The sequence below is a fragment of the Homo sapiens genome, chromosome 21 (genome assembly GCF_000001405.40).
Source record: "Homo sapiens chromosome 21, GRCh38.p14 Primary Assembly".
Classification (NCBI taxonomy): domain Eukaryota; kingdom Metazoa; phylum Chordata; class Mammalia; order Primates; family Hominidae; genus Homo; species Homo sapiens.
The window spans coordinates 42,541,442-42,569,195 of record NC_000021.9 but is presented as its reverse complement, the minus strand read 5'-3'; the positions used below and the strand labels follow the sequence as shown (position 1 = coordinate 42,569,195).

Below are 27,754 nucleotides of genomic sequence, written 5' to 3'. Positions count from 1 at the left end.
CCAAACACTCGGCTTTACTGGAGACCCCCACGCAGCAAGTGACACACAGGTTGGCACCCCAGGTCCTCCTTATTAGCTGTGACAGCCACACCAGGCAGCCCCCCATAACGTCCCCCATGTAGGAAGGACCCTCCTGATCTTCACCTGGCAGGTGTGGCAACTCCTGATTTTCGCCTGGCAGGTGCAGCCACTGTGCGTGCTCCCCATACAAGGGCTCAGGGAAGGCCACAGCCGTGCCGTCAGGCTGCACATGGGCGAGGAGACTGGCACTCTGCCAGCTCCACCTGCCTGCTCCCTAAGGGGATGGCTTGCTTATTCTGCCACCTTTTTAAATTCCAGAATATGCCACTGAATTCTCTTCAAGAGCTTCGACGATGCTGGTAACACTCAGAACCCTGTATGATTTTGGACCAATTGGTTTTTCTGTAATTTAAATAAGATTCTGCCTTTCTTGAGATGAAGGCGATAAATAATGAGTGGACCTGAGTTAGCCCACGGGCTGTAGTTTGCCAACCACTGCCTCGGGTGAAAACCTGGACACGCACAGCTAGTCACACGCCCGTCTCTCTGAAGCCACCCAGGCATGCGTGACCATCTCTGTGTGCCGATGTCCCCTGCTCATCTGCTCGTATAGTAAGAAGCCGGCCCACCCAATGTTATAGATGCAGTTGGAACCCTGGGTACCTGTTCACGAGCATGTGACAATGTGATTTCCCCTAAGACACCAAACCTCCCAGAGCTAAAACTCTCTGCGCACCTACAGAGCCCGTCCCGTCAATGATGGCCGTCACGGTGGAGAGGGCGTGCGCGTTGCCTTTCAGACTTTTATGAGTCCCCTAGAAGAGAGGAAAAACAGACGTGCAGTTATCGCCACAGCATGAGAAGTAAACCTAAGCCTCTGTATGACCATTTACTCAAACTGCTCTGCAAAACAACTCATCGTGAGGGTGTTTCCCATTATTTAAACTCCACCCCAAGCTTGCCTTGGAGAGTTAAAACTTCAAGGGTTTTTAAGAGTCAAAAGTCATCAGAAATGCTTGGTTCTAGTTACAAGAACTCTTAGGATTCTCTTCAAATAAAAAACGTTTGTTCCGCACAGTCCTGCTCCTCCCTGAGGCCCCAGAGCAGCCAGCGTGAGAGGCGTGAAGGTGCGCAACGCGCGCCCCTGCCCTGAGCTGCGCCGGCCTTCCTTCCCAGACACATCCACGTGTCTGCTGGATTCCTCGACAGCCAGGGCCTTCCTGGGACCCCTGTCAGATGTCTCTGCAGGACCTAAAATTCAACCTGATCAATAGCAAACGCCAGGGGAAGAAGGGAGGAGGGGAGAGCTGAGAAACCAAGGCTGGCGCAGGTCCTCGGTGAGCAGCCGCCAGGAGCTCTGGTTTTGAAAATGTTGCATAGACAATGGGAAAAAAGCCAAAATGAGGACAATAGGAGGGGAAAAAGATCAGGGGAAACAGTGCCTAGAAGCCTAAAACTATAAAAATGAACCAGCGTTCAAAAAAATAAATGCTTGTATATGCACGTAATATGTATATAAAATAAAGAACACACAATATGAAAATCATCCAGAACCTACGTATTTTGAAGTCTAAAAAATAAGTGAAAGTCTCTCCTCTGCCTCTACCCCGTGAAGGCTGACCATTGCTAATGGTCTGATGTGGATCCTTCCAGAATTTTCCATGCCCATGTAGACACAAGTCTGCATGCTCACGCACACTCAGGCAGTTTCAGGACACGTCCAATACAAAGGTGACCAAGGCAGGGCATGGTACCTGGATGAGAAGGGCCGAATCCCCCAGCGCCTCTTCGTGGCCCCTCTCTCTCTGCAGAGGCGTCCAGGACAGGACCTCTCCCCTGCCCCCTTGGATTGAAAAGGCGCCTGAGTCATGAGGATGGCGCCCAAGAGCCTTTTGTTGTGCTGAACGGTGAGTTTTGCACCAACCTGCCCATGATTTTAGGAGAAGGGTGAGCAGCGGGGCAGGTGCGGGAAGGCTGGAGACCACAGGTGTAGGTGAGCTGCCAAAAACGTGCTTCTGCAAATGCAGTTTTACTAACAGTAATGGAGGCCACTTTTGTCATGAATGGCACATGGCAGGGTGCCCACAGGGCTGGTGTCTCTCCCGGTTCTACTCACCAGGTCGGCGGAGACGGCGGTGGTGATGAGTGTGTAGGGCCCACTGACCAGGGCTCCGCTGAGCAGCAGCATGGCTGTGGGAGGCAGAGGGGCAAAGAATGGAAATGTGCCCTCCAGAGAGCCCCGCATGCATAGGAGCAGCCTGAGGTGGGCGCCTGGGGAGCACAGGGAGGGGATGCAGCAGAAACAGCTTCCTCTAAACTTGTCTAGTGAGGAGCTAAAGCAAATCATACCCTCCCTAAGACTCAGGCTCATCCACCCTCGAAGGGCAGCAGCTGCCACCATGAGGGAGCGATCACAGGCCGGACCCTGGGCCTGGGCTGACCCCTGCTTCATCTGCAGCAGAAAGGCCTTCCTCTCCTCACCCACAGCTGCTGTGGTGCTCGCTGAGGGCAGACCCCCACCCTCTCTCCGGACCAGGTCATTTCCTAAACTCTCCTCTAGGCTCACACTCAGGTGAGGAAGCTTCTGGCCTGAGGGGGGGTCACAGGAAATTCCGCTTCCTCTCCTGTGGGCAAGCTGCCTTCTGGATAACATTTAAGGGGACCACACATCCCCACTGCTGGCTCATTAGGACAGAAAGCATACTTCTAAGTGCTGGAGGCATAGTTTGATAGCGCTGCCTGCAGGGTGTTCAAAATAGTCCTCCAAGGTTACGCAACCGCTCCTGGAGGGGCAGCTGACAAAGCTGGGAGGAGGTGGCTGGGGGGCCACCTGCCCTGGCTCCTGGCCGGACCCTGTTCAGGTCACACCGCCAGGTTCCTGGCTACCTGACGTGGCCCAAGAGCCAGCCTGAGCTGCTCTCACCACCAGGGGTGCAGGGTGCAGGTGGCAGGTCGCAGGCTGCTGCAGCCCCGCCAGCCCCACCAAGGCCCCAGGAGGGGCTGCCCTCAAGGTCACATCTGGCTTCTCCACTGAGTGCCCAGGGCCACTGCCCCAGACCAGGCTTGCACACTTCCAGCTCACAGTGAAACCCACAGAATGGCAAGCCTCGCACTGGGGAGAGGAGACCCCGGCCTCTCCAGATGGTCTTGCCCAAAGGAGGACACGGACAATTTTAGCCACACCATGTGCTCCAGTTAAACCAGCTCAATGCGCCTGTTGATTTTAGTATTTCATCTTGCCAGCTGTGTGAACTTTAAAAACGTGTGTGGAAGAAAAGCAGGAAGGCCTCCATACTCACCGATGGTGGCCTCAAGCCCCATCTTGCTGACGGTGGAGAAGATGTAGAGCTGTGGACATCAAGACACAAGGTCAAAGCCATGGCTGGCTGCAAGCAGTGCGAGATTGCTGGAAATCTACTTCTCAAAAACCCGGCGGGTGATTCTCAGGCAGCCATCCCAAGAGTGGAAACCCCTAAAAAAGCGTGACGGCCACGCCCCCTCCCGTCTCAGGTACTGAGCCTTGTCCCCACCACGAGGGCTTTGGACCAAGCACCCCAGGCGACCTGGGGAAGTCTGCAGGGTGCTCCCACCTTACACCCCCAGCCAAGGGCAGCCTTCCTGAGCTCCTACCCAGCCAAGGGGCTGCCTTCTTGAGCTCCTGATTTGCGAGTCTGACTGCCAAGTCCTCAGGCTGCCCACCCCCCAGTGGCAGCAAGGGGCCCACCCAAGCATTTCTTCACTCAGCATTCTTTCATGTTCTGTGTTGGGCCATGTCCAGAACCCCAAGATGGCTGAAAGCCAGGCCTTGTTCTGGGGCTAGCGGAGGGGCAGACGCGCAGAGCTACAGCGTCCACTGACAAGCCTGTTACCTCTAATGTTACGATGATAAAAACAGTAACCATGTGCATTGTTTCTAACCCACTGCAAGGTGGTGATACTGACGTCCCATTTTCCAGATGAGGGAACTGGGGCATAGAGGGGGGTGTCACAGCCCAAGGTCAGGAGCTACGAAATGCCTGAAAAGCACTATGCACCATGCATCATGACGGGAGGTGTCAACGATGCCTAAGAGGTTGGGGAGGTGTTGCGGATCCCAAAGGATGGGCAGGAGCTTGTCTGGGGCAAGGGGGCACCCCAAAGAGAGGAGCAGCTTGCGCGCGGCCCATGCTAAACCAGCAGCAGCTGTGCACGTGGCAGAGGGAGCCTGGTGGAGGCCTGCAGGTGCCAAGGGAGGGGTCGGGGGACAGGAGGCATGAGAGGGAATGAAGCGGGCTTGTCAGGAAAGTGGAGCACGGGCCAGATGGAAGGATGCTGGCTGGCGAGGAGGACAGTGGGGGACTGTCTGCAGGCTTTGGGGCCCAGGGAAGGCAGCACGGCTGACCGTGGGGGCCGCGAGCAGCAGCATCAGGCCGCAGGTGGAGGCCCTTTTCTCCAGTCGGTCTGAGATCACACCTGCCAGGATCCCACCTGCAACGGAGAGGCGGGCTTCAGGCACTGACGTCCCAGGGCATGAGCCCACGGGGAGGAAGCAGAACTGCAGGAGCTCGGAGAACGGCCTCCTCCTTTCCCAAGCCCCTCTCTCCATGCATCACGGGCAGGCAGCCTTCTCACAGCCCTGACCTCCCCACAGGCCTCCATTGGTTGTGGTCAGATGTGAGAGTCTTGGAGACATCTGCAGGTTCAGGTTTTAGGCCAGCCTCGAAGCCCCTTTACCTATCAAGGTACTAAGGTGGCCAGTCTGTCACCTGCCCAGGAGACATGCTGCTGCTTTTTTTGTTTTAGTTTTGAGATGGGGTCTCACTCTGTCACCCAGGCTGGAGCACAATGGCATGATCATGGCTCACTGCAGCCTCAACCTCCCAGACTCAAGCCATTCTCCCATCCTAGCCTCCCAAGGCTGGAACCACAGGCTCGAGCCACCACACCCAGCTATGCTTTTTTTTTTTTTTTTGTAGAGAGGGGTCTTGTTATGTTGCCTGGGTTGGTCTTCATAACAAGAAGACCTCAAGCGATCCTCCCAACTCAGCATCCCACAGTGCTGGATAACAGGCATGAGCCCCTGAGTCCAGCTGGCATGCTATTTCTGAGGGAAGCTGTTCAAGTGCAGAGTCAGGGCCCTGGGGAGGGACGGGAGACAATAAAACCACCCCCAGGTGACGGCCTGACCCTCTTGGGCTGGGCCCACTCAGGGGATATGAGACCTTGGGGAACCCTGTTCCCCTGAGCAGTGAATCAACTCAGAGATCATGCGCCTTGCGAAATTATTGTTGCAGCAGAACAAGTCTTAATGAACTCACCAAAGATTCCGCCCACGTCAAACAGGGTGGAGAGCTCCCCCGCCTTTTTGGCATCAAGGTGATCTATTGAAATGACAACGGAGTGTGAAACAGTGAGGATCTCCTTCACGCATCGCAGCGACACACCATGGCAGAACAGGACCCGTGCACGGGACTCTGGCTTCATAAGCTTGATTTATACCGAGGAGCAATTAGTAGTTAACTCAGATTTAAAAAACAAGTAACACAGAAAGGATGAAAACACTCTTAACCAAAAACCGTGGCTTTCCTCTGCTCAGTCTAATTATCCCACCTTTGGTTCAGAGACCCCCCCAGGGGCCCCTCCGCCATAAAGTTAGATTAACACAGGACAGAAGTGGAGGTGTGGAAGGCGCCTGGATGCTCGATCATCCTGTCACACGGCTTTAGAACTGCAGATGAGGACACAGAGGCCTCCCGGCACCAGCTCAGGGTGCCCTCCATGAGGTTTTGTACAGGTTCTGGGCTTTAAGGTGGACTGAGCCAGCCGGGTGTGGGAGAGGAAACTGCACGGCATCTGGGGCTGTGGGTCAAACCCAGCCGTTCCGAATCATCAATGGCATGGACAGAAAATTTTGCTTTTTTCAAACAGACTGGAAATGTCAGCAGTTCAAGACTCAAGTCCTGAGAACGTCACCCCTTTTGCAACCACAGGGGAAGAAGGGAGAAAGAAGGCCCAGCTGTGTGCAGCTCACTGGCCAAAGTGAGGCGGGGGTCACAAGGCAGGGAAGGAACCTCAGGATCCAAGGGTGCTCCTTGCTGCCTCCCCAGTCACTGGCCCTTGGGGCAGGCCCTGTCCCTGCTAGGCTGTGGGACAGTCCCCAGACCGCCTCCTCAACTTCCCTCCCAGGGTATTCAGTCTCCAGCCTCGTGCTGCCAGCATCCTCCTCTGGTGGGATCTGCATCCCCAGAATAGGTGGTCTGTGCTCCTCAGCCTCCCCCATTCTCAAAGGCCTCCTCTTTGAGACATTGCCGGATTCTGCCCCTCCCTGACGGCCCAGCGTGTGTCTTCTCCTTCCTCTCGCTCTCTCTGGCTCCCGGGGCGAAGAGCCCTCCACGTGCTCCTGGACCATCCCCGCTTCCTCTCAGCCAGGGTTCCAATTTCCCCACTCAACGGCTCCTTCCCTTAAGCACTGTTCATCTCCTCTTGTCTGTCCTGTGTTCACACATGACATGGGGGGGGCATGTTACTATTTCACTGGCACGTTTTCTGATAATCTATAGCTGCAGCCACTGCGGGGCTTCTGAAACATAAAGCAAACTGTCGGCCCTGCCAAAAATGAGACGCTATCTCCCAGAAGCCATTTCCAGGTCAGAGTATCAGAGATTTCTTTTCTCAGGTCCCCAAAGGCTCTGCTTCTGCTCACTGGCTGCTATGATCCAAAGTTCAGTGTAGCCCACGTTTAAACGCAGGCTGCCCCAGAACAGGAAGTACCTCATGAACTGGTAGCCCTAGCTGGGATAGAACGTGTCAACCGTGAAGCCCCATAAAGTTTACCATTATGGCAATACAATGTGCATATCTGAATTCTTTTAGCCTATGTTTCATCATAGTACTTTATTCAAAGGTGTACCTCTCAAATCACCCTTCATGACCTTGTGTTTTCAATACTCTAGAAACCAGCAGACAGAAGAGACTTCGGACCCCAGTCACTGTGCGGAATTTAATGTGTTCTAGCGTGGATACTCACCCACATTCGTGATGTACAGGGGCAGCCAGAAGAGGAAAGTATAGCTGACCAGCTTGGCAAACAGCAGACACAGTGAGAACTCTATCACGCCCTGAAAGAGAGAGCAGTCAGGCGTCTCCTCCAAATGTGGAGTCAGCAGGTGTGTGTAAACATGCAACAGAGTTAAATATGACTTCGCTCCCATAAAGACATCCTGTCTCTGGTCTGGCTTTAGCACCTCCAGACACGTACTGGGGAGGGTGCTGCACCGCTGTGTGGTGTAGTGAGGACGCGGGAACAGTGGAGCGCTCACCCCGAGCAGGGGCACCAGGGAGGGGCGGGGCCTCTGAGAAGGGTGGGGCCCCAGCTGCAGCTCCTCGGCCACTGTCACATGGGGTGCAGGCCCAGCGTGGCCAGATTTTCTACTTTTCAAGTGAAGACAGGAAGCCCTGTTTATCTACGGCGTTTCTGAATTTCGAAATGGAGTTCAGGATCAAAACCCAGTGTCTTTACATCAGAGTCGAGTCAATGCAAACATGGACGGGTTTGATTTTCATACTACATCGCCTGGAAAACTTAGCTATTAAAAGAGTTCTCGTATAGCCGGGTGCAGTGGACTGAGTATCGAATGGCTCCTTCTTCTTCCCTGGAACTGAAATCATTGTACATTATCAAGCCACCTGGAAACACACAGATGAAACAATTCCGACCATTGTGTCAGCACACAGGCGTACAGGCTACCGCATCCCGCCTTGTGAGTACTACAGACCAGTCCGTATCAGGGAAAACAGTGAAAAGAGACACGTAGGTATGAGTGAGGAAATCGAGTGGTGGGTTCTGTAAAATGCCTGTTTGTGTTTGTTTTATGTCTACTTTTAGAAAGAGGTGGCACTTGTGAGATAAAAATTCCAGATGCCATCTGAAAATTCAGAGTGAGAAATCCAGTAACATTGTGGCACTGAATCCCCCAGCCGTCTGTGCACTGGAAATCAATCAGAATGGGGGCCGGGGGAACCCAGCGCTCTACTTTGCCAAGTCATTCTAAAATGAAACGAGTTGATGTCTTCACAGTTGATGAGGATGTGTACGTGTAATTTACCGTATGCCTTTCATGGGCCTGGCATTGTGCTTAGTTGTCATTAAATGACCTCACTTCATCCTCAGAACAACATATGGTATTACCCCAGGGATGGAACCCGTGTGACAGATGAGGACATGGAGGCTCAGAGTGTGCCACACTTGCCTGAACACTCAGCCTGGCGGTGGCAGGGGGAGGCTTGAGCGGGACCTCTGAAGCCCATACTGTCTATACCTCCACTATATAAAAACCTGTATTTTTATGCTAGTGTGCACCCTACTTTTGGTACAAGTATTTGGGGGTAGCTACAGAGGAAGGTACAGCAGAAAAGGTCACTAGCATTAAGGACACAATTAAAAACAAATCTTTTTACTTAAACCCAGCAGCTTCCACAGGCCAGCATGCACAGCCCTTTCCCCATAAGCTGGTGCCCACCCTGGGCTGGGACGTTCTCCTCTGGCTGAACACTGGCTCCAGGGTCCACCTCTGCAGACCCAGTTTCTCCTGGGCACTGGAATACTTTCTGTTCTGAAGCCAAGGTTCTCCCCAGTCTTTAATTTCTGTGATATGATTTTGAGGTCTGGGTTGCATTGTTTATACTTCCAGCCCTGACCTGCTGAGGGGCCTCGGGCCTGTGCCCCTGGCCCTCTGCCTTTCTCTAGGTTGTGTCAACAAGCGAGAGCTGTGTCTGCTCCCTGGTGCTGTGGCTGTCAGTGCTGGAGAGCACGGCCTGGACAGCCCCGCCAAACAGCCCACCCTGGACAGCGCCCCCTGGACAGCCCACCCTGGACAGCCTGCCCAGCCCACACAGCAGGGTCTGGTCTCCCTCCCACGCCCCTGCTCTCAGCCCTCTGCCCCCATCGGAAGAACACAGTGTCTCCACACCCTGTGCACAGCTCCTTAGATTCTCTGCTGAGAGAGTCCATCAATGTAATAAAAACTGAAAGCAGCAAGAAATCTCCCTACAGTGCCCCTCCCGCTCATCTGCTCCAAGTCACCTTGTTCCCGATACTGATCACCCGCTGATCACGCCCTTCTAGTCTGGAGGCAAGGCCAGCAGCACCACCGAGGACCAGCCCGGTCCAGCTTCTGAGGGCTTCTCCCGCCTGTGCTACTCGTTCTTCCCTTGGTCCCTGCATCCTCCCCCTCACTCTTGGCATCCTCTGCTCACACACACGGGCAATCAGACCACGGGCTGTGGCACTGAAGGCACTTTTTGGGTTTTTTTTTTTTTTTGAGACAGAGTCTTGCTCTGTCACCCAGGCTGGAGTGCAGTGGCACAATCTTGGCTCACTGCAACTTCTGCCTCCCGGGTTCAAGCGATTCTCCCGCCTCAGCCTCCTGAGTAGCTAGGACTACAGGCGCCTGCCACCACGCCCAGCTAATTTTTGTATTTTTAGTAAAGACCGGTTTTTGCCATGTTGGCCAGGCTGGTTTTGAACTCCTGACCTCAGGTGATCTGCCTGCCTCGGCCTCCCAAAGTGCTGGGATTATAGGCGTGAGCCACTGCGCCCAGCCTAAAGGCACTTTAAAGGGAAAGAGAATCCAGCCGGGCTCGCGAAGGCCACGGCGCAGCACTCAGTGCCAGCGCCTCCCATGGGCTCACGCTCAAGGCCTGTGGGAGGGCAAGTGCACTGGGGAGGGGCCGGGCCACAGGGGCCAGGTGGCACAGTAGTCAGGGCCTCAGTTCCCCAACCTGTCACATGGGGGCAGGCCCAGGGTGCCAGGCTTTCCGTTTTTCCAGTGAAGGCAGGGAGCCCCATTTTTCTATGAACCTGAATTTCTAAATGGAGAAAACGAATTTCAAAAAAAATTTAAACATGGTATGAGGCGAACAAATATCACTGCAGCCATATTCAGTCCTGAAGCTAGCACTGTGCAGCGTCTAGCTTTGGCTATGGATTCGAATCCCCGGGTTCTACAACCACAGATGTCTTTTTAAGCTTAATCATCAACCGACCAGACTTCCCACAGCCAGCACAGCAGCCCTTTCTGAAACTCCTCCTGGGCACGTTTACTTACTGGAATTTTCAAGGCCCCTGTGAAGCTGATGGCGGCCGTGCCACTCCCACCGTCCCCGGGGAGAATGACGACGTGGTTCGGGTGGATGGAGCCCTTCCCATCTGAGAGCAGCAGGCACTGCATCTCTGGGTCCTGGAGGCAAATCCATTGGGAACAAAAAGGAAAGGTGTTACCAGCCGGGCAGTCTGGGTGAAGTGGGGCCAGGCTTCCTAATGACGAGGGTGCCTGGCGGCTCTCTCTTCCACTGCCTTGGAGACATCCTGGGTGACATTCCCACCTGGCCACTGTGTTAGAATGATTAGCATTCATGCATTTTCATGAACGGCTAGGTACACAGATCCTCTGATCCAGAAATTCTAGGAATCTATTGGCAAAAAATAATTTGAAAAGTAAAAAGATACTTATAAAGTAAAATGGATGTCACATCATCATTGAGAAAAAATAGAAAATTCAAATACATCCATACGAATGACATCTTGTAAAAAAAAGGTTGGGAGATTTTAATGACGGAAAATGCTTATGACACATTAAATAACACATCATTCAAAACTGCATGTCATTATAACCTCAAAGAATGTTTAAATATCTACGTATGTAACTAGGCAACTATAGGATCTATTTCTAGAAAGAAAGAAGCTAAAATCTAAGCCAACAATGGTTGTCAGCGAGTGGTGGAATTATGTGTAATTTTTATCGAAATGCTAATAAGAAATTCTTTACATGATCCTGCATTTTTTAGGAGTTCACAATGGCCATATATGACCAGAAATAACATTATTTTAAAATACACCAACATTATTTTAAAATACACCTATTCTGATATTTATGAATTCTGATTGTCTAGACGTTCCTAAAGGACAAAGTGTACATTCATTAAAGCAAAGAAGAGTGATTCCCCAACCTAGAGTGGGATTTCAAGTCAGAGCAAGGATAACATAAAAATAATCTTAGCCTGGGCCACACAGTAAGACCTAAAAAAAAATAGTGGAATGTGGTGGTATGCGCTTGTAGTCCTAGCTGCTCTGGAGGCTGAGGCAGGAGGATCACCTGAGCCCAGGAGGTGGAGGCTGCAGTGAGCTGTGATTGTGCGGCTGTCCTTCAGCCCGGGCAAGACCCTGTCTCAAAAAAGAATGAAAATAAAATAAAAATATTCTTCATGAGTGAGCTATGAGGTTCAAGGTCTTACAAAGAAATGCTTCTAGGTATCTCAGACCTTTCACAAAATCAAACAGGCTTTGTGGTACTTATCTCACTATAACCTGTTATAAGTTGGACTAAAAATGTAGTTTAATTAAAAAAAAAAAAGAAAATGGTAATGTATTCCACATTCCCCTGCCCCTTGATATTTAGAATATTTAGAATTCTCTTCCAGTGGAAAACAGACATTTGGAAACCGGGTGGCAGGTGGCACCGAGTGCAGCCCAGTGTGGGCACCCAGTGGGTGGCCTTGGGGGCAGCCCAGCGTCTACGTGCCCCAGGAAGCCCGGCTTCACAGCTAGGACTCTGGCATGGAGAGCGGGTCTCTGATGAAGATATTCACATGTGGCCACATAGTCAGGTGCTCTGGAATGAAGATGACAAGGCTGAGTGCAGATGCCTAACATGCTCCCGATGATAATCCCATCACGGCACGTGAAAGCAAAGAATGGCGACTTGAGTTTCTGAATAAACTTTTCTCTCATGAATTCTGCTAATCGTCCAGTTTAGAAAACTACATCAGTAATGCTCTACTGTGGCTAAGCACTGGAATCTCCTCGGGGGGCTTTGAGAAGCCTCGAATTCCCCCAGCCCCACGGAAGCAGTCCCTGGGGCAGCCCCAGGCGAGTTCCACTCATAGCAAGCTGAGGGCTACAGGACTTCACAGGCCGTTCCGCAGGAAACAGGCTCAGCAGTGGGTGAAATGCAGCCAGCTGGAGAAAAGTCAAGCGGAACGAGGCCGCTTAGCCAGGAGAAGCGCACCCTCTGACCCGCAGAGAAGTGACCGCAGGTCAACACAGAAGACCTACTTGGCCTCAGGTAGGACCCAGATGCCCAAAGGCCGCCCACGGCCCTTGCAGGATTTGTAAAGTGCTTCAGGGTCCACTTGCTGGGCTGGTTTAAAGCCACAGACACAGACCCTCTGCTCCTTATCTAAGCAGCAAGGAGCCCCCGAGACAGACAGAAGGCTCTGTTTCTGCTGAGAACGGGCCCTGTGCTCACAGCCACTCATCTTAAACAGGACTTGTAGCCACCATACCTGAGTTGTTTGCTCCTGGAGGAGATGGGAAAGAGTGTGGGGCCATGGCTGGTTTTCCAAAACAAACAGGGGGCTGCTGCTGCCTCCTCCTTACATAGCAAACAAGAAGCCACTGGGTGGACCAAGACAAGGCTGGAGGCCAAGAGGCACCTCTGCCTCTAAACAAGCAGTTTCCAGTCTGTGTCCCAAGAGCCCCAAATGGGATCTGTGGAGCCCCCGGTGGGTGTGGGGGCTTCTGTGGCCAGTGCACTCCACGCTTAGGGCTTACACTTTCAAAGAGAAAAGGGTTCCCTCTACTAAAATGCCCCCACACACAACAAAAATACACACAGACGCATGTGGGGGGACTGCGTAATAACGATCGCTTTATCTAAAAATGCTAAGCTCACCCCGCTACCCGATGCTGTCTGCAGCTTCCCTTTGGGAAAGGCCATCACAAGAGAGATTTGTGGAGTCCCCACTTGGCGTGCAAAGTGCACGGTGGAGTCACATTCAACCTCCAAATACCCACTCCGTGCTCACGCCGCGTTTGGTGGGCCCAACAGTTCTTGAGCCACAGCCAATCAGAAGGATCCTCAGAGACGTCAAGGAGGAAAAGTGACAAGTGACTACAGGGATGGCAAGTGCGACCGTCCCCAAGACAATCCTCTAAAACGCCCGCGGGGACCTGCGGGCTCGCCACGTGGCCAAGTGACAGCAGCGCCTCATTCTCTTTCCCACATTTGCTCCCCGCCCCCCAGCTTTCTTTACATGTCTCTTCAAGAGGCCACTGAGAAACTGCCTGCTACGTGACATAGTGTAGCAGCTCTGTCTGAAAAGGAGTGGAGGTCAGGGGCTGGGTGACACCCCACTGAGCCCAGCGGTCACTCTGGGAAAGGGGACATCCAGGGTGTCCAGCCAACCTCATGGGGACTCTCCCCGCCTACCCTGACCCAAGAGCAATGGCAGGCCCGCCGAAAGGGGATGCCACGTAAGCGAGGTCAGCATGCGCCCGGTTGTGGTCGTCACCCTCAGCCTGAAATAAGGCCTGCCAGTGCCTTTACTTACATAACTGGCTCCTTGATGGCAAGTCTGTAAACAGCCTTTCTTAGAGGGCCGGAAAAGGAAAGAGAGAAACTATACTTAGAAGCCAAGGCTAGTTCTATGGGTCAGTTACTACACCAGAAGAAAGGGCCTGTGGTCTTGATTCAGAAGAAGTGGCAGGCTTCAGTATCATCAGAGAGGGGTGACAGCCTTTTGGACACTGGGACATGATTTGTTTAAATGTGAATTCAGAAGTAAGTACAGATTTTAAAGCATTTTGGTTGAATTAGTCACTGCCTACTGTCTCCCTAAAATCCAAGAACCCAGATGCACGAGACATCATTCTTCCCTTTTCTAATATTTCAGCCACTACAAATAAATTTCTGCAGTCAATAAAAAAGTGAGATGCATGTTTAGTACATTAATCCTTTAAGCTATTTAATTTAAAAAGATAGGGAGAGCAGCCCCTTACACATGCTGGAGGGGTCTTTCTGACAGAGGAGAGGCCCTGTGTCTGCTGTAGAAGGTTAAACCTTATTTAGAGGCCGGGTGCGGTGGCTGAAGCCTGTAATTCCAGCACTTTGGGAGGCTAAGGCGGGTGGGTCACCTGAGGTCAGGAGTTCAAGACTAGCCTGGCCAACATGGTGAAACCCCATCTCTACTAAAAAAATACAAAATTCAGCCAGGTGTGGTGGTGGGTGCCTGTAATCCCAGCTAATAGGGAGGCTGAGGCAGGAGAATCACTTGAACCCAGGAGGCGGAGGTTGCAGTGAGCCGAGATCATGCCACTGCACTCCAGACTGGGCGACAGAGTAAGATCTTGTCTCAAAAAAAAAAAAAAAAAAAAACAACCAACCAACCAAACAAACAAAAACCTGATCTAGAAAGAGAACAGCTTATAACTTCAATGATTAAACTCAAATTTAAAATGCCCGCTGCAGCTTGGTGTGGTCAGCTAAGCAGCAGCAATGTGAGGAGCCTCTACAAGGATCAATGATGGGAAGGGTAGGGCACAGGAGGCTCAGGTGCTAGGGGTGGGCCAGACCTGCACTGAGGCCTCCCTGCTACCGCGGATGACAAGGCAGATTAACTTAGCATTTCTGTGTCCGGAATTCCTCATCTGTGACATAGGGGAGGTGGAGATGCCTCCTTCTGTTACCTGCTTCTCCCTTTTCTTGGTCCCATGATGTCAGTTTTCTGTGTGCACCTCACGTGGCCAGCCCACCGTGCGCCCCTCACCCTGACACCCTCTGTGCTCAGGCACCTGCAGACTCTCCCTCCAGTCCCTCACAGCTCTGTTTCAACACTGCCTGCCTAGGGAAGCCTCCCAAGGCCAGCTGAAAATAGAGCCTGCTCAGCCTGTCTTCCTGCCGCTTGGCACCGCTTGGGGGATGTCTCTGCCTGCGTTCCGTCTACACCAGCACCGCCCCCAACACCTGGAATAGTGCCTGGGACATTGAAAGGTGCGGAGCTGCTGAATGAATGAACTGGTTAAGTGTAAAATCCAAAGAAAGCCAATAAGGGCAAACTCAAATTTTACTGAAGAAATACAATGAGACAGAATTTTTTTAAGACCTGGATGTTTGTGACACATGTCACATAGGCAGAGGGACAGAGAGCCGACGTGGCTCAAAGGAGTTTTCCTGCAGCTCCGACATTCTAGGAAGTGGAAGTTGTGTGTGACTTACCAGAGGCTTGTTCTTTTCGCTCTTCAAGATTTGCTTCTGGAGTCTCAATCTGTTTGTACCATTCTCATAGCCTTTTGAGTGCTGGTAAAAAAAAAAGTTTCATTAGAGCGATACTGATTCAACAGCTAGAAATTAAACCTGGCTTTACTGTAGCAAGGATACTTACTATCGTCCCAAAAAAGCTACCAAGAGGACATAAGACAACTGATTTAAACAGAATAATGGTTGATCTCAACACTCCAGACTCTCAGATAATAGAATGTGAGCATAAAATCCTCTCTTGAAGAAAGAGCTAAGACAGAGGTGTAATCAAATGTAAAAATACCCATTAAGCCAACTTAACTTTTCTGAATGGCCGTGAGATTGTTTCAATGGTTTTGAAATGAAAAGGCACAGACCAATCTTTCCCTTTAACATGTGAGGAACACCTGCCCTCCCTAGGTCAGCCGAATGCTTCTGAAGGAAAAAAAAAAAACCGTCTCTAGGGAAGGAGAGTGTGGCTTGCTCAACAGCCCCAGAATGTGGACCTGCTGCTAGAGGGCAGGGAGGTGGAAGGACTGCACTGATGCACTCCAAAACTCAAAATCATTTCAAAATTATCTCCTGTTACCAAGTGAAAAGTGAAGAAATGAAGGCAGTTTCTTGGGCACTAGAATAAAGGTACCATTTCCTAATCATTATTTCTACAGGGCTCTATGTAGAACCCCTTTTGAAGATAATTAATGGTATAAAAATAATTGTTGAAATTCTCCAGTGGTAAAATGTTGTTGTTTGTTGATGAAATAGTCCAAACAAACTTCCTTTAAAATAAGGAATCAGTCTGTACTTAGAAAGATGTTATTCACTCACTCTAGTATAAATGATAACAAAACAATTTCTAAGGCTTAGAGAGGCCCAGATGATTTAGATTTCTGGCACTAGTGCTGGATGCATTTGAGAAGAAAAACCACCAGGCTTGCACGCTAACTGTGAGATCTGCAAGTAGAGATCTATGGGGCCTCCAAAAGGCGGGAAACACGGGGAAGACAGAGCATGGGTTAAACTCCGTTCAGATGGACAGTTGGATCCCACCCTTTACATTTCGAGGCATTTCCCCTGAAAAGGTTTCTGAAGGTTAAGAAAAACTATTGATCTTATTACTTGAAAATGTAACAAAACACCTTTAAAAATACATTTGTTTTGTGCTCAGAGGGAGGGCAAAGCCTGCCAGGCTAGGGGTGATTATCTGGCCAGTTTATCATCCGACCATTCCAGGCAGAAGCAGAGATGGGTTCCTGCTCCCCAGCACTCGGCCCCCCGTCCCCCGCAGTGAGCAGAGGCTGCCAGCATCACCCGGGCCCTCTTCTTCCTGCTTTTCAGCCAGGAACGTGGGTGCTCAGGCAAAGCCTATCTTAAAATTCCTTTTCAGCTTGATGTGGTCAGCTAAGCAGAAATGATGTTAGGAAATGCTAGGAAGTCTCCTGAAAGGGAAGGGGCCTGTCCCTAATGTCCTTTCCCTCCTTCCTGCTGGCTGGAATACAGATGTAATGGCTGGAGCTCCAGCAGCCACTGACCAATCATTCATTCACTCATTCAACAAATAATTATTAAGCATCAACTCTGTGCCTGGCACTGTTCTAATTGGTTGGAATATATCACCTTTGGCATGAAGCCATGCACAGGGGAAGAACGAAAAGACAAGAGGAGTCTGTGTCCCTGACACTCAACACGCACACCCCACATCATCCTGGGCTGGCTCTCTCCAGATTTCTTGAATAGAAGAGAGAAATACCTTCCCATCTTGTTTTAGTAACTGCCTGTGGGCTTTTCTATTGCTTGCTGCTGAACACAACCCCAACTAATCTGAAGATATTAATAAAAACATTAATTTTGACACAACTGATACAGGGTTTTGGACCCAATGAGGTCCTAGATTAGGGCACAAAATAGATATCCTAAACCTAAGTAACCTAGGAATCAAATACAAATCAAAAGAACAAGTTCCCATGGCTCTTCAATAGCACAGGGCAGAAGCATAAAGAGACACATTCTTATTAGCACCCTCAGACTCAAGGCAAATGGTAAAGAATTGAATACTCTCTTTCATATTAATTGTGATTCATTTGAAACAAAAACTAATTAGAAAAATCAAATCTGGATCAGATGAAGGTTTCCAGTTTACAGGAGATACAGGGGATAGAGGAACACGTGAAACACACCCCAGGTACAAGGTCAGCAAAGCCTCAAATGTGGGAAACTTGGTAGAAAAAATGACCATTTTTTATTTTGACAAAAGCAATTCAAAGGAGAATAACACCAAACCAAAAAAACAAAACAAAACAAAACAAAACAAAACAAAAAAAACCATTGAGGTCCTATAAATTAGAAGAGCCTTAAGAGGCACATTAAATTAACCAATCAGAAGGAGTGGACCTTGCCTAGGCCTTGCTCAAACACAGTGCAAAATCATTTATAAGACAATCAGCAGATCTGACCATTGAGTAGCTGTATGATAATAGAAAGGATTATAGATTTTAAAAATTTGTAATAGCATTGTTGAGACAGAATTCACATACTGTACCATTCACTCATTTAATGTTCACAATTCAGTGGTTTTTAAATTCAGTTTTGCAACCATCACTACAATTTGAGAACATTTTCATCACCTCCAAAAAGAAACCTCATACCTGTCAGCAGTCATCCCCCCTTTCTTCCCACCCTAGTCCCTGACAACCACTCATCTTCTTTCTATCTCTAGGTTTGCCTATTCTGGACATTTCATATGAATGAAATCATACAATATGTGACCTTTTGTGACTGGTTTCTTCTGCTTCGCGTAATGTTTTTTGATGCTATTGTAAATGAAACGGCCTTAATTTCATCTTTGGATTGTTGACTGCTAGTGTATAGAAATACAATTGATTTTTGTATACTGGTCTTGTTTTCTGCAACCTTGCTAACTTATTAATTCACTCTAACCATTTTTTTGAGGACTCCTTATGATTTTCTGTATAAAAGATCATGTCATCTGCAAAGAGAAGTAGTCTTACTTCTTGTCTAATCTGCATGCCGTTTATATCCTTTTCTTGCCTAACTGGCCTGCCTGCATTACAATGGTAAATAGAAACGGCAAGAGCAGGCCTCCTAGTCTTGTTCCTGATCTCAGGCGGAAAGCACCTGGTCTTTCACCATTAAGCACACTGTGAGGTGTGGGTTTTATTAGATGCCCTTTGTCAGGTCAAGGAAGTTGCTTTCTATTCCTAGTTTGTTGAGTGTTTTCACATGAAAGGGTGCTGGATTTTGTCCAGTGCTTTGCCTGCTTCTACTGAGATGATCATGCAGCTTTTGTCCTTTATCCATTCAAATGGTGTATTACATTAACATTACCTGTTAAGCCAGCTGTGTATTCCTGGGATAAATCCCACTTGATCATGGTAAATAATCCTTTTGTAGGTGGCTGAATTCTGGTTGCTGCTATTGAGTTTTGCATCTACACTCATAAAAGATACTGTTGTACAGTTTTCTTAAGAGGTTTTAGTCTTTTGTTATTACGATAACACCTCATAGAATGAATTAGGAAGTTTCCCCCCACTTTTATTTTTTGGAAGAGTTTGTGAGTAATTAGTATTAGCTCTTCTTTCCATGTTTGGCAGAATTTACCAGTAAAGCCATCTGGTCCTGGGATTTTCTTTGAGTGAAGTTTTTAAATTAACAATTTAATTTCTTTACTTGTTTTAGATCTATTCAGATTTCCTCCTCTCTTGAGTCAGTTTTGGTAGTTTCTGTCCTTCTATGAATTTTTCCATTTATTCAAAGTTTTCTAATTGGTTGGCATATAGTTCCCTCATAATCCATTTTATTTCAGTAAATGTGGCAGAAATGCCACCTTTCCTGGTCCTGATTTTGGTAATTTGAGTCCTCCTTTATTCTTGGTCAGTCTAGGTGCAGGATGATCAATTTTGTTGATCTTTCCAAAGAACCAACTTTTGGTTTCATTGATTTTCTCTACTGTTTTTCTATTCTTTGCCATTGGTTTTTAAGTGTGATAATGGTATAGTACATTTTGTTTCACATAAAAGAGTCCTTATATTTTGGAAACATACTGAAGTAGTCAGAGACAAAATATTAAGATGATTGCTATTTGCTTGCAAAATACATCAGCAGGAGGTGGGAAGGGATAGTATTAGAAGGGGCGTTGATAGAGTCAGATTGGCCAACTGTTGGAAACTTGGGTAATGGGTACACAGGGGTTCGTTATGCTGTTATTTTTACCTTTTTATATGTTTAAAGTCTCCATAACAAGAACTTTAAAATATTGGAAAAAATTAGAATTTTATCCTAAAAATAACACTTCCACATGGGAACTTCCCAGAACAAGTCAGCACATCTGAAATCTCTTACAAATGCATTTTGCTTTGCCCAAAAGCTCCCATTTGTGATAAAGGGAAGATACTACAGAAGGACAGCAGCTGATGGGACATTGGCCAAACTGCCCTCAGCTCCCTCAGGAAGGCCCGTGACAAGGGTCTCGTTGGTGTCCTGCACAGAGCAGGTAACATTCCTGCAGGAAAAAGAACTTTGGGGCTGTTTGCAGAAGCTGATAAAATATCCCCAGATATCAGCCATCTCTCCCTCTGCGACCAGCCAACATGGAGAGGAGAGAGGACGAGAAGCTGTTTCTCTGGACCACCTGCCTCAGGGCACGTCGGGGACACCTGGGCACCAGTAGATCTCAGTGAACTGCTCGGAGAGGATTTGAACGGGGAGAATGAAACACAGGCTTCAGCCCCAAACTCATACACACGAGGAGCAGAAGCAATGCCTCTCGCCTAGATGAGCTCTCATATTCCTAAAAGCTGTGTGTGAGGAAGAGCTGCTCCTCCCCAAAACCCCCTGCACGCCTGCTTCCTATCCTCAGGCCTGGCCGCCCCTGGGTGAGAAAAGCTCTTCTTAGAGGACAGAAGGTGTTCCAGGGCGGAAGGTGTGTGCGAAGTTCTCCCCAGTCTCAAGACGGCTGGTCCGGGCAGCTTTAAGCTACTTCACGGCACGACTGTACAAGCTTGGAAACTGAAATTCATGCTCAGGGCAGGAACACGGCTTTTTAAAACATTTTAAAATATCAACCATAGTTTTAAGAACATCATATGGTGTTTGACCTTCCTGAAGGCACTGGTTTTCAAACTTCATTTTGTTTCTTTGTTTTTGTCATCAAGTATCAGAACCCTTCTTTCCATATGAATCACACCCAGGAGCCCGAGGTATGAAAAGACAGAAAAAGGACTCTGGCCCCCCTCCCGCACGAGGCCAGGTGCTGCCCCAGGTGCCGGGACCCAGTGATGATCCAGGCCCGAGGGGCTCGCACCCTTCTGTGAGGGTGACAGAGACCAACCAGATGGACTGGTGAGGATTTCACACGGGGCGACATGGAGCCACTGGACTGTGTTGTGCAAGGGCTGATGTGCTCTGGCGTCTGTATCAATACAGTCTCTGCAAGTGCGGTGTGAAGAAGAGATTCTGGGGAGCAAGAGTGGATCGTTCTAGGAGGCTGATGAGCAGTGGCTCGGAGGAGAGCTGACGGTGGTGACGGGGACCAGGGTGGTAGAGGCGGAGGAGGTGAGAGGGTTTCCATTCCACATCCCCTCACAGAACAGAGCAGAACTGACAGAACATGGCCAAGGATGGGGTGCGGGGCTGAAGGGAGGGGGTGTTGGGCTGGCTCCTCGGGTCTGGCCTGTCCACAGGGTGGACAGCAGCTTCCTGACTGAGATGGGGGATGCTGGGGGATCGGCTTGTGCAGGGGTAAAATCAAGAGATCTCCTCCAGTCGTGTTAAGTCTGAAGGACACTCAGACATCTCCGTGGGAAGGTTGAGTGGTGGTGAGACCTCAGATTGCGGAGCTCAGGGGTGGGTCACTCTGGGGACAGCATGGTGACTCGACATCAACGCACCTGGAGCCGCTGAAAGGCCCGAGCGCGCTCTCCTGCAGTGAGCGGGCAGACAAGGAGAGAGGAGGCCGCAGGGCAGCCTGGGGGCACCCCCACATCTGGGGTCTGACACTCGGCACAGACGTGACTAACATGTTAGCCCGGGTAGGGGAGCCTTTCCCAGAGGGAGGGAAGAGAGCTGACCCCCAGAGGGAGGGAAGCATTGGGTCAGACGCGGGCGACGGGCCCAGCAGGGTGAGGCCAGAGAGCTGACCACCCTATGTGTCCGGGTGACGTTGCTGGGATCTGATGGGCTGTTCCCGTGAGGTGGCGGTGGCCTGCAGACAGGAGGGGTGTCATGCCAGTGGACATGGGGAGCGGGGCGGCTGGGAGCAGGCATGAGGGCCAGAGGGACTTTCTTCCAAGACAGCCACCAATACTACATGAGTGTGCCAGGAATGGTATTTGGGGCGGGGGGTGTGTCTGCGGGAGTCAAGCCCTGGGCCATGAGAGGGAGGGGACCGGTACCGCGGGAGGGCTGGCCTTAGCCAGGTGGGAAAGTGGCCAGTGGTGACTGGCTGCGGGTGGAGGCAGCTAGGGCAGGGCTCATTCATGGCAGCCAACGTGGTCAGCAATCCTGCCTGCAGGGCCTACGCTGGCTGAGCTGGGCAGGGGTACAGAAGAGAAGGAATGGCGTGCTGGGCAGACCTCTCGGCCACCTGAGACGTGCAGCCACCAACTTAAGTGATGGCAGGCAGCTGACACGTGCGTTTTTCCCCGTCACACTGAGGCCCCTGGGGAAACCAGGAGGTCTCCACTCCTGAGGAGGCCTGGCCAGGGCCCAGCCTTTGGTTCCCCTTAGCATGAAGTCCTTCATCTGGACAGCATTGAACCTCTTGTCTGGGTTTTGCTGATAAGGTTATTATCAGCGAAACCCAAAACAGAATATTCTCTATTCCTAGAACTGCCAATGTTTTGAGGGTGGGACTTCTGTCTACCCTGTGTGTTTCTGTCTGACACCGCACAGGCAGGAGCAGGCTGGGGAAGTGGTCAGAACCGCACACTGTTCTAGAAAAGGACAAGAAAACAGGGTCCTTACCGTCACCAGGGTGGAGGAGCACCTGACGTCGTTCGGATCTGAAAGAGCAAACATGAGTGAGGCTGAGCAGGTCCACCACCATGGCAATGCCAAGTAAGCTACGTAACCCGAGGACAGGGCAACACGGGAGCACCGGGTGTGAAACTGGACTGTATGCAGGATTCACATTAAATGAGTGGATTTGAGCTGCTCTTGCCACAAAAACAAAAGCGGGCAGCTGTGAGTTGCGATGGCTATGTTAACTTGCTTCGCTTTACTAGTAACCTTTTTACTATCTCTATGTATCTGTAACACCATGTTGCATACCTTAAATATACACAATAAAATTTAATAAAACACAAGATGCCATCTTATACCTTTACTAAATTGGCATTCGTTTCAGAAAAAAGCCATCGCCATAGCATGCCAGGTGAGGGCAAGGGCACAGCTTGGCTGTCCCACCAGTGACTCCCGCACACGCCCCGGCCTGTCCCCAGTCACTCGGCCTGGCAGCCCACTTGTGTGCAAGGGGGGTATGGCAGATCACCGCCAGCCAGTGCCAACACTGTGAACGTGAACGCTACTTTAAATATGGAAAATACTTCCCAGCGTGGCCAATAATCACAAGCAGAGCATGCGGACGCTGTGTGGACAAGCCCACGACTCTCATTCAGAGGACAAGCCCCAGAAGAAAAGCAAAACCAGGAAAAGCACATCAGGGGAGCGAGGCTGGAAGAATGTCTGTAATGAGGTATTTCATGTTATGAAATTCATTAGAAATAAAAATGAGTGGAGATAAAACATCTATCTTGATATGGAACAAACATCTTTGTGTAAATGCAAGGAAGGGAGGAAACTTGAAAAGGAACAGAACCAGAAGTGAGGCTTCAGCGTGTCCTTTACAGACACCAGCAACCTGCCCCGAGCAATGCGGGAACCCAGAGTCAGACCCCAGGCCTCTAGGTGCTGCGGGAAACCAGCCCTACTGCTTCTCGCTCCACCTCTGCAGCCCCCTCTGACTACCAAGCACCTTGGTCTCTTTATCACCTTGGATGAAACTGGTTACTGCCTTGCAACCCAAACTGAGCTACAGGGCTGCAGGCTCCCCACAGCCAAGTCCATTCCCATACAACACAGGGTGACATCATAGAGGGACATGCAGCTGCCGAGCACACTCCTGCTGGCCTCGAGGCCAGCATCAAACCTCTTGTCTGGGTTTTGTTGATAAGGTTATTATCAACATGCCGTAGGGCCAGGTGGGTCTGCACCCAGAGGTCCGTGGCTGGCTGTGGGGTGCGTCGCCCTCCTGTCCTGGGCACAGCCCATAGGGCGAGGCCACTGACCAAGGACACATGGTCGGCATGTTGGGCAGTCCCAATGGTCCACCTGTGATGTATGGTCACCAATTTAAAGGACATCAGCCAACTCACCCCATCGGTATCCACTCACAGTGTGATGCCCCCAGGGGTAAGCCAGGGGCTTCCCCTGATATGGCTCTTCCTGGACTTTCACCTTCAGGGACTTGGGCACACACGTCCCTTGGCTGGGACACATTTGAGAACAGCTTCAGAAAGGAGACTCAGAGAGGCCTGAGAAAGGAGCAGGGGACGCCCTGTCCTTTGGGGCTCACCCTGGGCAGGAGACAAGAGTGAAGGAGCAGCAGAGAAAGCCACATCCTCTGTTGACCGCAAGAATGGCACATCTGATGCCTTTAGTACCTGCCCAGGATCAGTGATTCGGGACAAGGAGGGGCAGAAACAAACCAAGGGGCACTTGATGTTTCCTCCCTATCTGCAAAGAGCTCCTGTTCTCAGACTCAGCATCCAGCCACTGTTGTCACAGCTGGGTCTCATCATTCAGACACAGTGCACCTCCCAGGCACAAGGGGAAAGAGTGTCAGAAAGATTCCCTGGGCAGGAGGTTCTGGTAGTTTGGTTTTGTTTGGCTAGAGATGAAGCATGCAGCCTTCCTGTAGGTGAGTGGGCCTGTGGCCAGAGGACCCAGGGACAGGGGGCATCTGGCTCATTGCTATCTGCCCAAATTGGATCAGGGAGGCTTATTCACAAGAGCTGAGCTCTCTCTGCTTACAGAGACAAACATCAACATAGGGCCGTGAATGCCTGGAGCGGGTGCTGAGGTCCCGGCCATTGAGCAAGCTCCTTTCCCTTCCACATGTCCTTTTCTCCCCAGAGCCAGCCCCTTTCCAGTTAAGGAAGAGAACAGAAGACCCCATGGACTCTACCCTCAGGCAGGAGACACCCAGGGGCCCCTGTGCGCTAACAAAGAGAGGCACATTGTTCTCCGGGTGGCTGGTGTCTCAAACACTTGGAGCGCAGGGGCACAGAACTCCAGGTTCTAGGAACCAGAGCGGAAGAAAACAGGTGGTGGAAATGGCCTTTCTCAGAACTGCAGTGACACACCAGCCAGAGCTGAAAGCCACATGCTGGCCCACTGGGAGGGATCCAGACCCCCACCCATCCCAGGAGGCCCCTGCTCAGGCTGTTTGGGGTGTGGCCGAAGGCTTACTCAGCCTCTGCAGAAGCGGGGAAAGGGGAGCGGAGTGCAGCCCGGGGCCCCCACTTTTTGCTCACACCAATGGGTGTGTCTGGACATTCCTCATCTGAATGTTTATTTCCATTTTCACCAACACAGAAGCATGGGGTGAGAGTCTCCAAACTCACAGTGTGGCCAGATGATGGTTACCTTAAAAATTAAAAGGTTAGCTTTTGCAAGACAAAAAAAGTGAGCGACTAAATGGAATATGGATGAACTTTTGCATGCAGAGCTGAAGTGATCAGCAATGCCCAGTGTGGCTGGAGGGAGCTGGCTCTGAGTGTCCCTACCTGGCAGGCAGCATGAGGGAGCTGTCTCCTGCCATATGGTTTAAACTCAGTCAAAGAACTAAGAGTTGAGTACAGCTTATCAGAATGGCTTGCGGGATTCGAGCCCCTGTCGTGTGACCGCCAGGGCCACCCGGGCATCTCTATTCTTGCTGTAACTGTCCTGAATCTTCTCAGCACCAGAGCCTGCTGGATCTCTACTTCAGAAATGAATTTCAAATTCAATTAAATAAAGAGTTTGCTATTGAATCTGAAATGGAATAAGAGATTTGATTTTCCAAGAGATACTTTTTACCCAGTTAAGATATTAAGTCAGTCTTTTATAACACTGTCCAAGATATATCTTATCAGAAGGCAAAGAGCTGACTGGGTCCAATTCAGGCTGTGGTGGCAAGATGGGCATGAGAAGGAACAGCCTGTGGGAAGATGGAAGACTCCCATGCATGAACTCCTGATGCCGGGGCAAGGGAGGACAGGAGGACGGGAGGAAGGAATGGGGACATGGGTCACTCCAGAATCAGGGGAGAGTAGGAAATCCAGCAAAACCAGGAGAGAACCGGCTCCCCGGGGAAGTCTCCCTGGTAAGAAGAGCGCTGAGGCAGCCACGGGCAAACAGGGCGCTAGGCCACGCAGCTCTCACACTCGCCCCCAAGGCCCACCCAGGCAGGGAAATCCGAGGCCTCCCTTGGTGGGTGGTCTCCAAGGCCACGTGCACTTACGTTCAATGAGGAAGAGAAAGCACACTATCCCCATGGCTGCCACGATGGCTCCAGGCACGACGAAGGACAGGCCCCAGCATGTGGACACCCAGTAGCCAGCGATCAATGACCCCAAGATGTTGCCCACGGAGGTGTGGGAGTTCCAGACCCCCATAATCAAACCTCTCCTGCAGCACAACAAAACAGAAGACAGAAGATGGAGCTGAGAAGCTGAAACGAGTCCAGCAGTGCAGGGCGCAGCAGTGCCTGCAAAGTAGGGAGTCGGCGCAGAATCAACGGGGGGCCATGCAGACCCTGCTTCTGTGCCATGCAGGACTCGCGATGCTCACGAGAGCTGATGTGTTTATGTGGCCTCAGGCTGTGCCATCACCCATTCTACCTCTTGCTCTGAGCGCATTCTGTACTCAAGAAGAAGAAAGAGGCCTTTCCCTGAAAGTCTTGGAAGGCCTGAAATTAAAATTTGTGCCTCTACAATCAATTAATACATACAGTCACTTGATGAACTGTCATTTGAACAAAACTCATGGATGCACACACCAGGTGAATGAGGCACAGTATCTAAGACTTAAGACCTGATGACGCTGGTGTTCCCGTTTTAGCTTCCGCATCTTGTTTGCGATCGTCCACCATAAATAAGCCTTTGGCCTGGCTGAGCTGAATTTTACAAATAAATAAATTTTATCTGTATAAAATAAAAGCCATTTACAAATAAATCTGGACTCGCCAGGCTGGGTCCCAGCTCTGCTACTTTGGTGCTGTGCGCTGGGTGACCCAGGTCGGGACTTCCCAAACTCCCATGTTAACATGTAGCTTTGGCTTCAAAAGGCCTGGGGCAGGGTCCTGGACTCTGCATCTCCCACAACACCTGGGAGGCCAGATGCAGCTGTCAGAGGAGCCGCCGAGTGACACGGACTTCACCAGGCCCACAGTGGGAGGGCGGAGCTCCCCTGTCTCGTGGGACACAGGCCATCTGAATTTCAGCAATTCAAGCCCCAGAGGTTTCAGCCATCTTATTTTAAAGAGGATACTAAAGTGTTTTTGCTGTAATCAGTCTACAGAAAAACTAAAAGTAAAATGGTCTAGTTTTCATCTGCTATTGGAAACAGGGCTGCTTTTTCTCACCTTCCTTTTCCAAACCAGTTGCCGAGGCAGGTGACGACGCTGGGCCAGCCGGTGGTCTGCACCAGCCCGTTGATGACCTGCAGGAGAGGCCAAAGGAGAGACTGACCTGTGGGAAGCAGGCCCGGGACAGCGCTGCAGGGAGGTGCACAGAGCTTGCTCCACTTACACAAAGCAGGGGGCACGACAGCCAGAGATGGACTGTCAATTTTATATTTATATACAGTTTAAACTACATATATATTTTAAAACCATGTATACAGGTATCTATATATTTTTCAAAATAAAAGCAATGCATGCCTATTGTGGAAATTTTAGAATAAGCAGAGAAAAGCGAGGAAAAAAAACCCAGCCAGAACCCCACCACCAGCAGATCACACCTCATAACAGTGTGGGGCCAAGCTTCCCGGTCTCTTTTGAATCCAAAAACTTCATAGAAAGAGGCTAGGTGCAGCGGCTCATGCCTGTAATTCTAGCACTTTGGGAGACCAATGCAGGAGGGTCTCTTGAGTTCAGGAATTTGAGACCAGCCTGGGCAATATAGAGAGACCCCCTTGTCTACAAAAAATTAAAAATTAGCCAGGTGTGGTGGTGCACACCTGTGGTCCAAGCTACTCAAGAAGCTGAGATGGGAGGATTGCTTGAGCCTGGGAGGTCAAGGCTGTAGTGAGCTGTGATTGCATCACTGCACTCCAGCCTGGGCAACACAGTAAGACCCCATCTCAAAAAATAAACAAATACAAACTTTTTAAAGAGAGAAAACCTTTCTTCTCTTTATGAACTGTTTATAGAATTGTATGATAAACATGGCTTGTGAATTGCATGTTTCCCTTACCATGCCATGGAGAAGGTACTGTTGTTAATCATTCTCTGGAATGAACACGAACTTGACTTCGCGCCTGGACAAAGTATCTCTGCACTTTTGAAGAATCCCTGACTTGAGTTTCATGAAGGGACTTGGGGAATGTATTGCTGAGGACGCTCTAGCGTCTTGAGACTCGGGGGTGGCTCTACAAGACTGCACGAAACCAGGGCCAGCCTG

The 27,754-nt window shown here is 50.3% G+C and overlaps 1 protein-coding gene across 19 annotated transcripts in view, besides 6 other annotated features; it reads right to left on the bottom strand.

Moving 5' to 3' along the window:
• SLC37A1 (solute carrier family 37 member 1) overlaps positions 1-27,754 on the bottom strand; it is an 81,805-nt gene that overhangs the window by 12,231 nt on the left and 41,820 nt on the right. For all 19 annotated transcript variants that reach the window (NM_018964.4, NM_001320537.2, XM_047440843.1 and 16 more), the window contains 11 exons: positions 26,716-26,792; positions 25,594-25,760; positions 22,056-22,093; positions 15,054-15,134; positions 10,107-10,238; positions 7,028-7,118; positions 5,319-5,381; positions 4,403-4,488; positions 3,321-3,369; positions 2,138-2,211; positions 758-836 (listed from right to left, as the gene is read on the bottom strand). In NM_018964.4, the coding sequence (NP_061837.3) occupies positions 758-836; positions 2,138-2,211; positions 3,321-3,369; positions 4,403-4,488; positions 5,319-5,381; positions 7,028-7,118; positions 10,107-10,238; positions 15,054-15,134; positions 22,056-22,093; positions 25,594-25,760; positions 26,716-26,792 (937 nt within the window). The remainder of the gene's footprint in view (positions 1-757; positions 837-2,137; positions 2,212-3,320; positions 3,370-4,402; positions 4,489-5,318; positions 5,382-7,027; positions 7,119-10,106; positions 10,239-15,053; positions 15,135-22,055; positions 22,094-25,593; positions 25,761-26,715; positions 26,793-27,754) is intronic.
• Positions 2,584-3,504: an enhancer, noted in NCBI's record as "H3K4me1 hESC enhancer chr21:43985802-43986722 (GRCh37/hg19 assembly coordinates)". NCBI's record gives its function as "activates a minimal SCP1, AML or CMV promoter by ChIP-STARR-seq in naive H9 embryonic stem cells {active_cell/tissue: H9 hESC(naive)}" and the evidence as "EXISTENCE:reporter gene assay evidence [ECO:0000049][PMID:30033119]".
• Positions 6,841-6,970: an enhancer, noted in NCBI's record as "active region_18528". NCBI's record gives its function as "activates an Ori minimal core promoter by ATAC-STARR-seq in GM12878 lymphoblastoid cells {active_cell/tissue: GM12878}" and the evidence as "EXISTENCE:reporter gene assay evidence [ECO:0000049][PMID:35858748]".
• Positions 22,866-23,401: an enhancer, noted in NCBI's record as "H3K27ac-H3K4me1 hESC enhancer chr21:43965905-43966440 (GRCh37/hg19 assembly coordinates)". NCBI's record gives its function as "activates a minimal SCP1, AML or CMV promoter by ChIP-STARR-seq in naive and primed H9 embryonic stem cells {active_cell/tissue: H9 hESC(naive and primed)}" and the evidence as "EXISTENCE:reporter gene assay evidence [ECO:0000049][PMID:30033119]".
• Positions 23,402-23,939: an enhancer, noted in NCBI's record as "H3K27ac-H3K4me1 hESC enhancer chr21:43965367-43965904 (GRCh37/hg19 assembly coordinates)". NCBI's record gives its function as "activates a minimal SCP1, AML or CMV promoter by ChIP-STARR-seq in primed H9 embryonic stem cells {active_cell/tissue: H9 hESC(primed)}" and the evidence as "EXISTENCE:reporter gene assay evidence [ECO:0000049][PMID:30033119]".
• Positions 23,692-23,915: a silencer, noted in NCBI's record as "fragment chr21:43965391-43965614 (GRCh37/hg19 assembly coordinates)". NCBI's record gives its function as "represses an EF-1alpha promoter that drives an FKBP-Casp9 reporter gene in an ReSE screen in HepG2 liver carcinoma cells {active_cell/tissue: HepG2}" and the evidence as "EXISTENCE:reporter gene assay evidence [ECO:0000049][PMID:32094911]".
• Positions 26,143-27,073: an enhancer, noted in NCBI's record as "H3K4me1 hESC enhancer chr21:43962233-43963163 (GRCh37/hg19 assembly coordinates)". NCBI's record gives its function as "activates a minimal SCP1, AML or CMV promoter by ChIP-STARR-seq in naive H9 embryonic stem cells {active_cell/tissue: H9 hESC(naive)}" and the evidence as "EXISTENCE:reporter gene assay evidence [ECO:0000049][PMID:30033119]".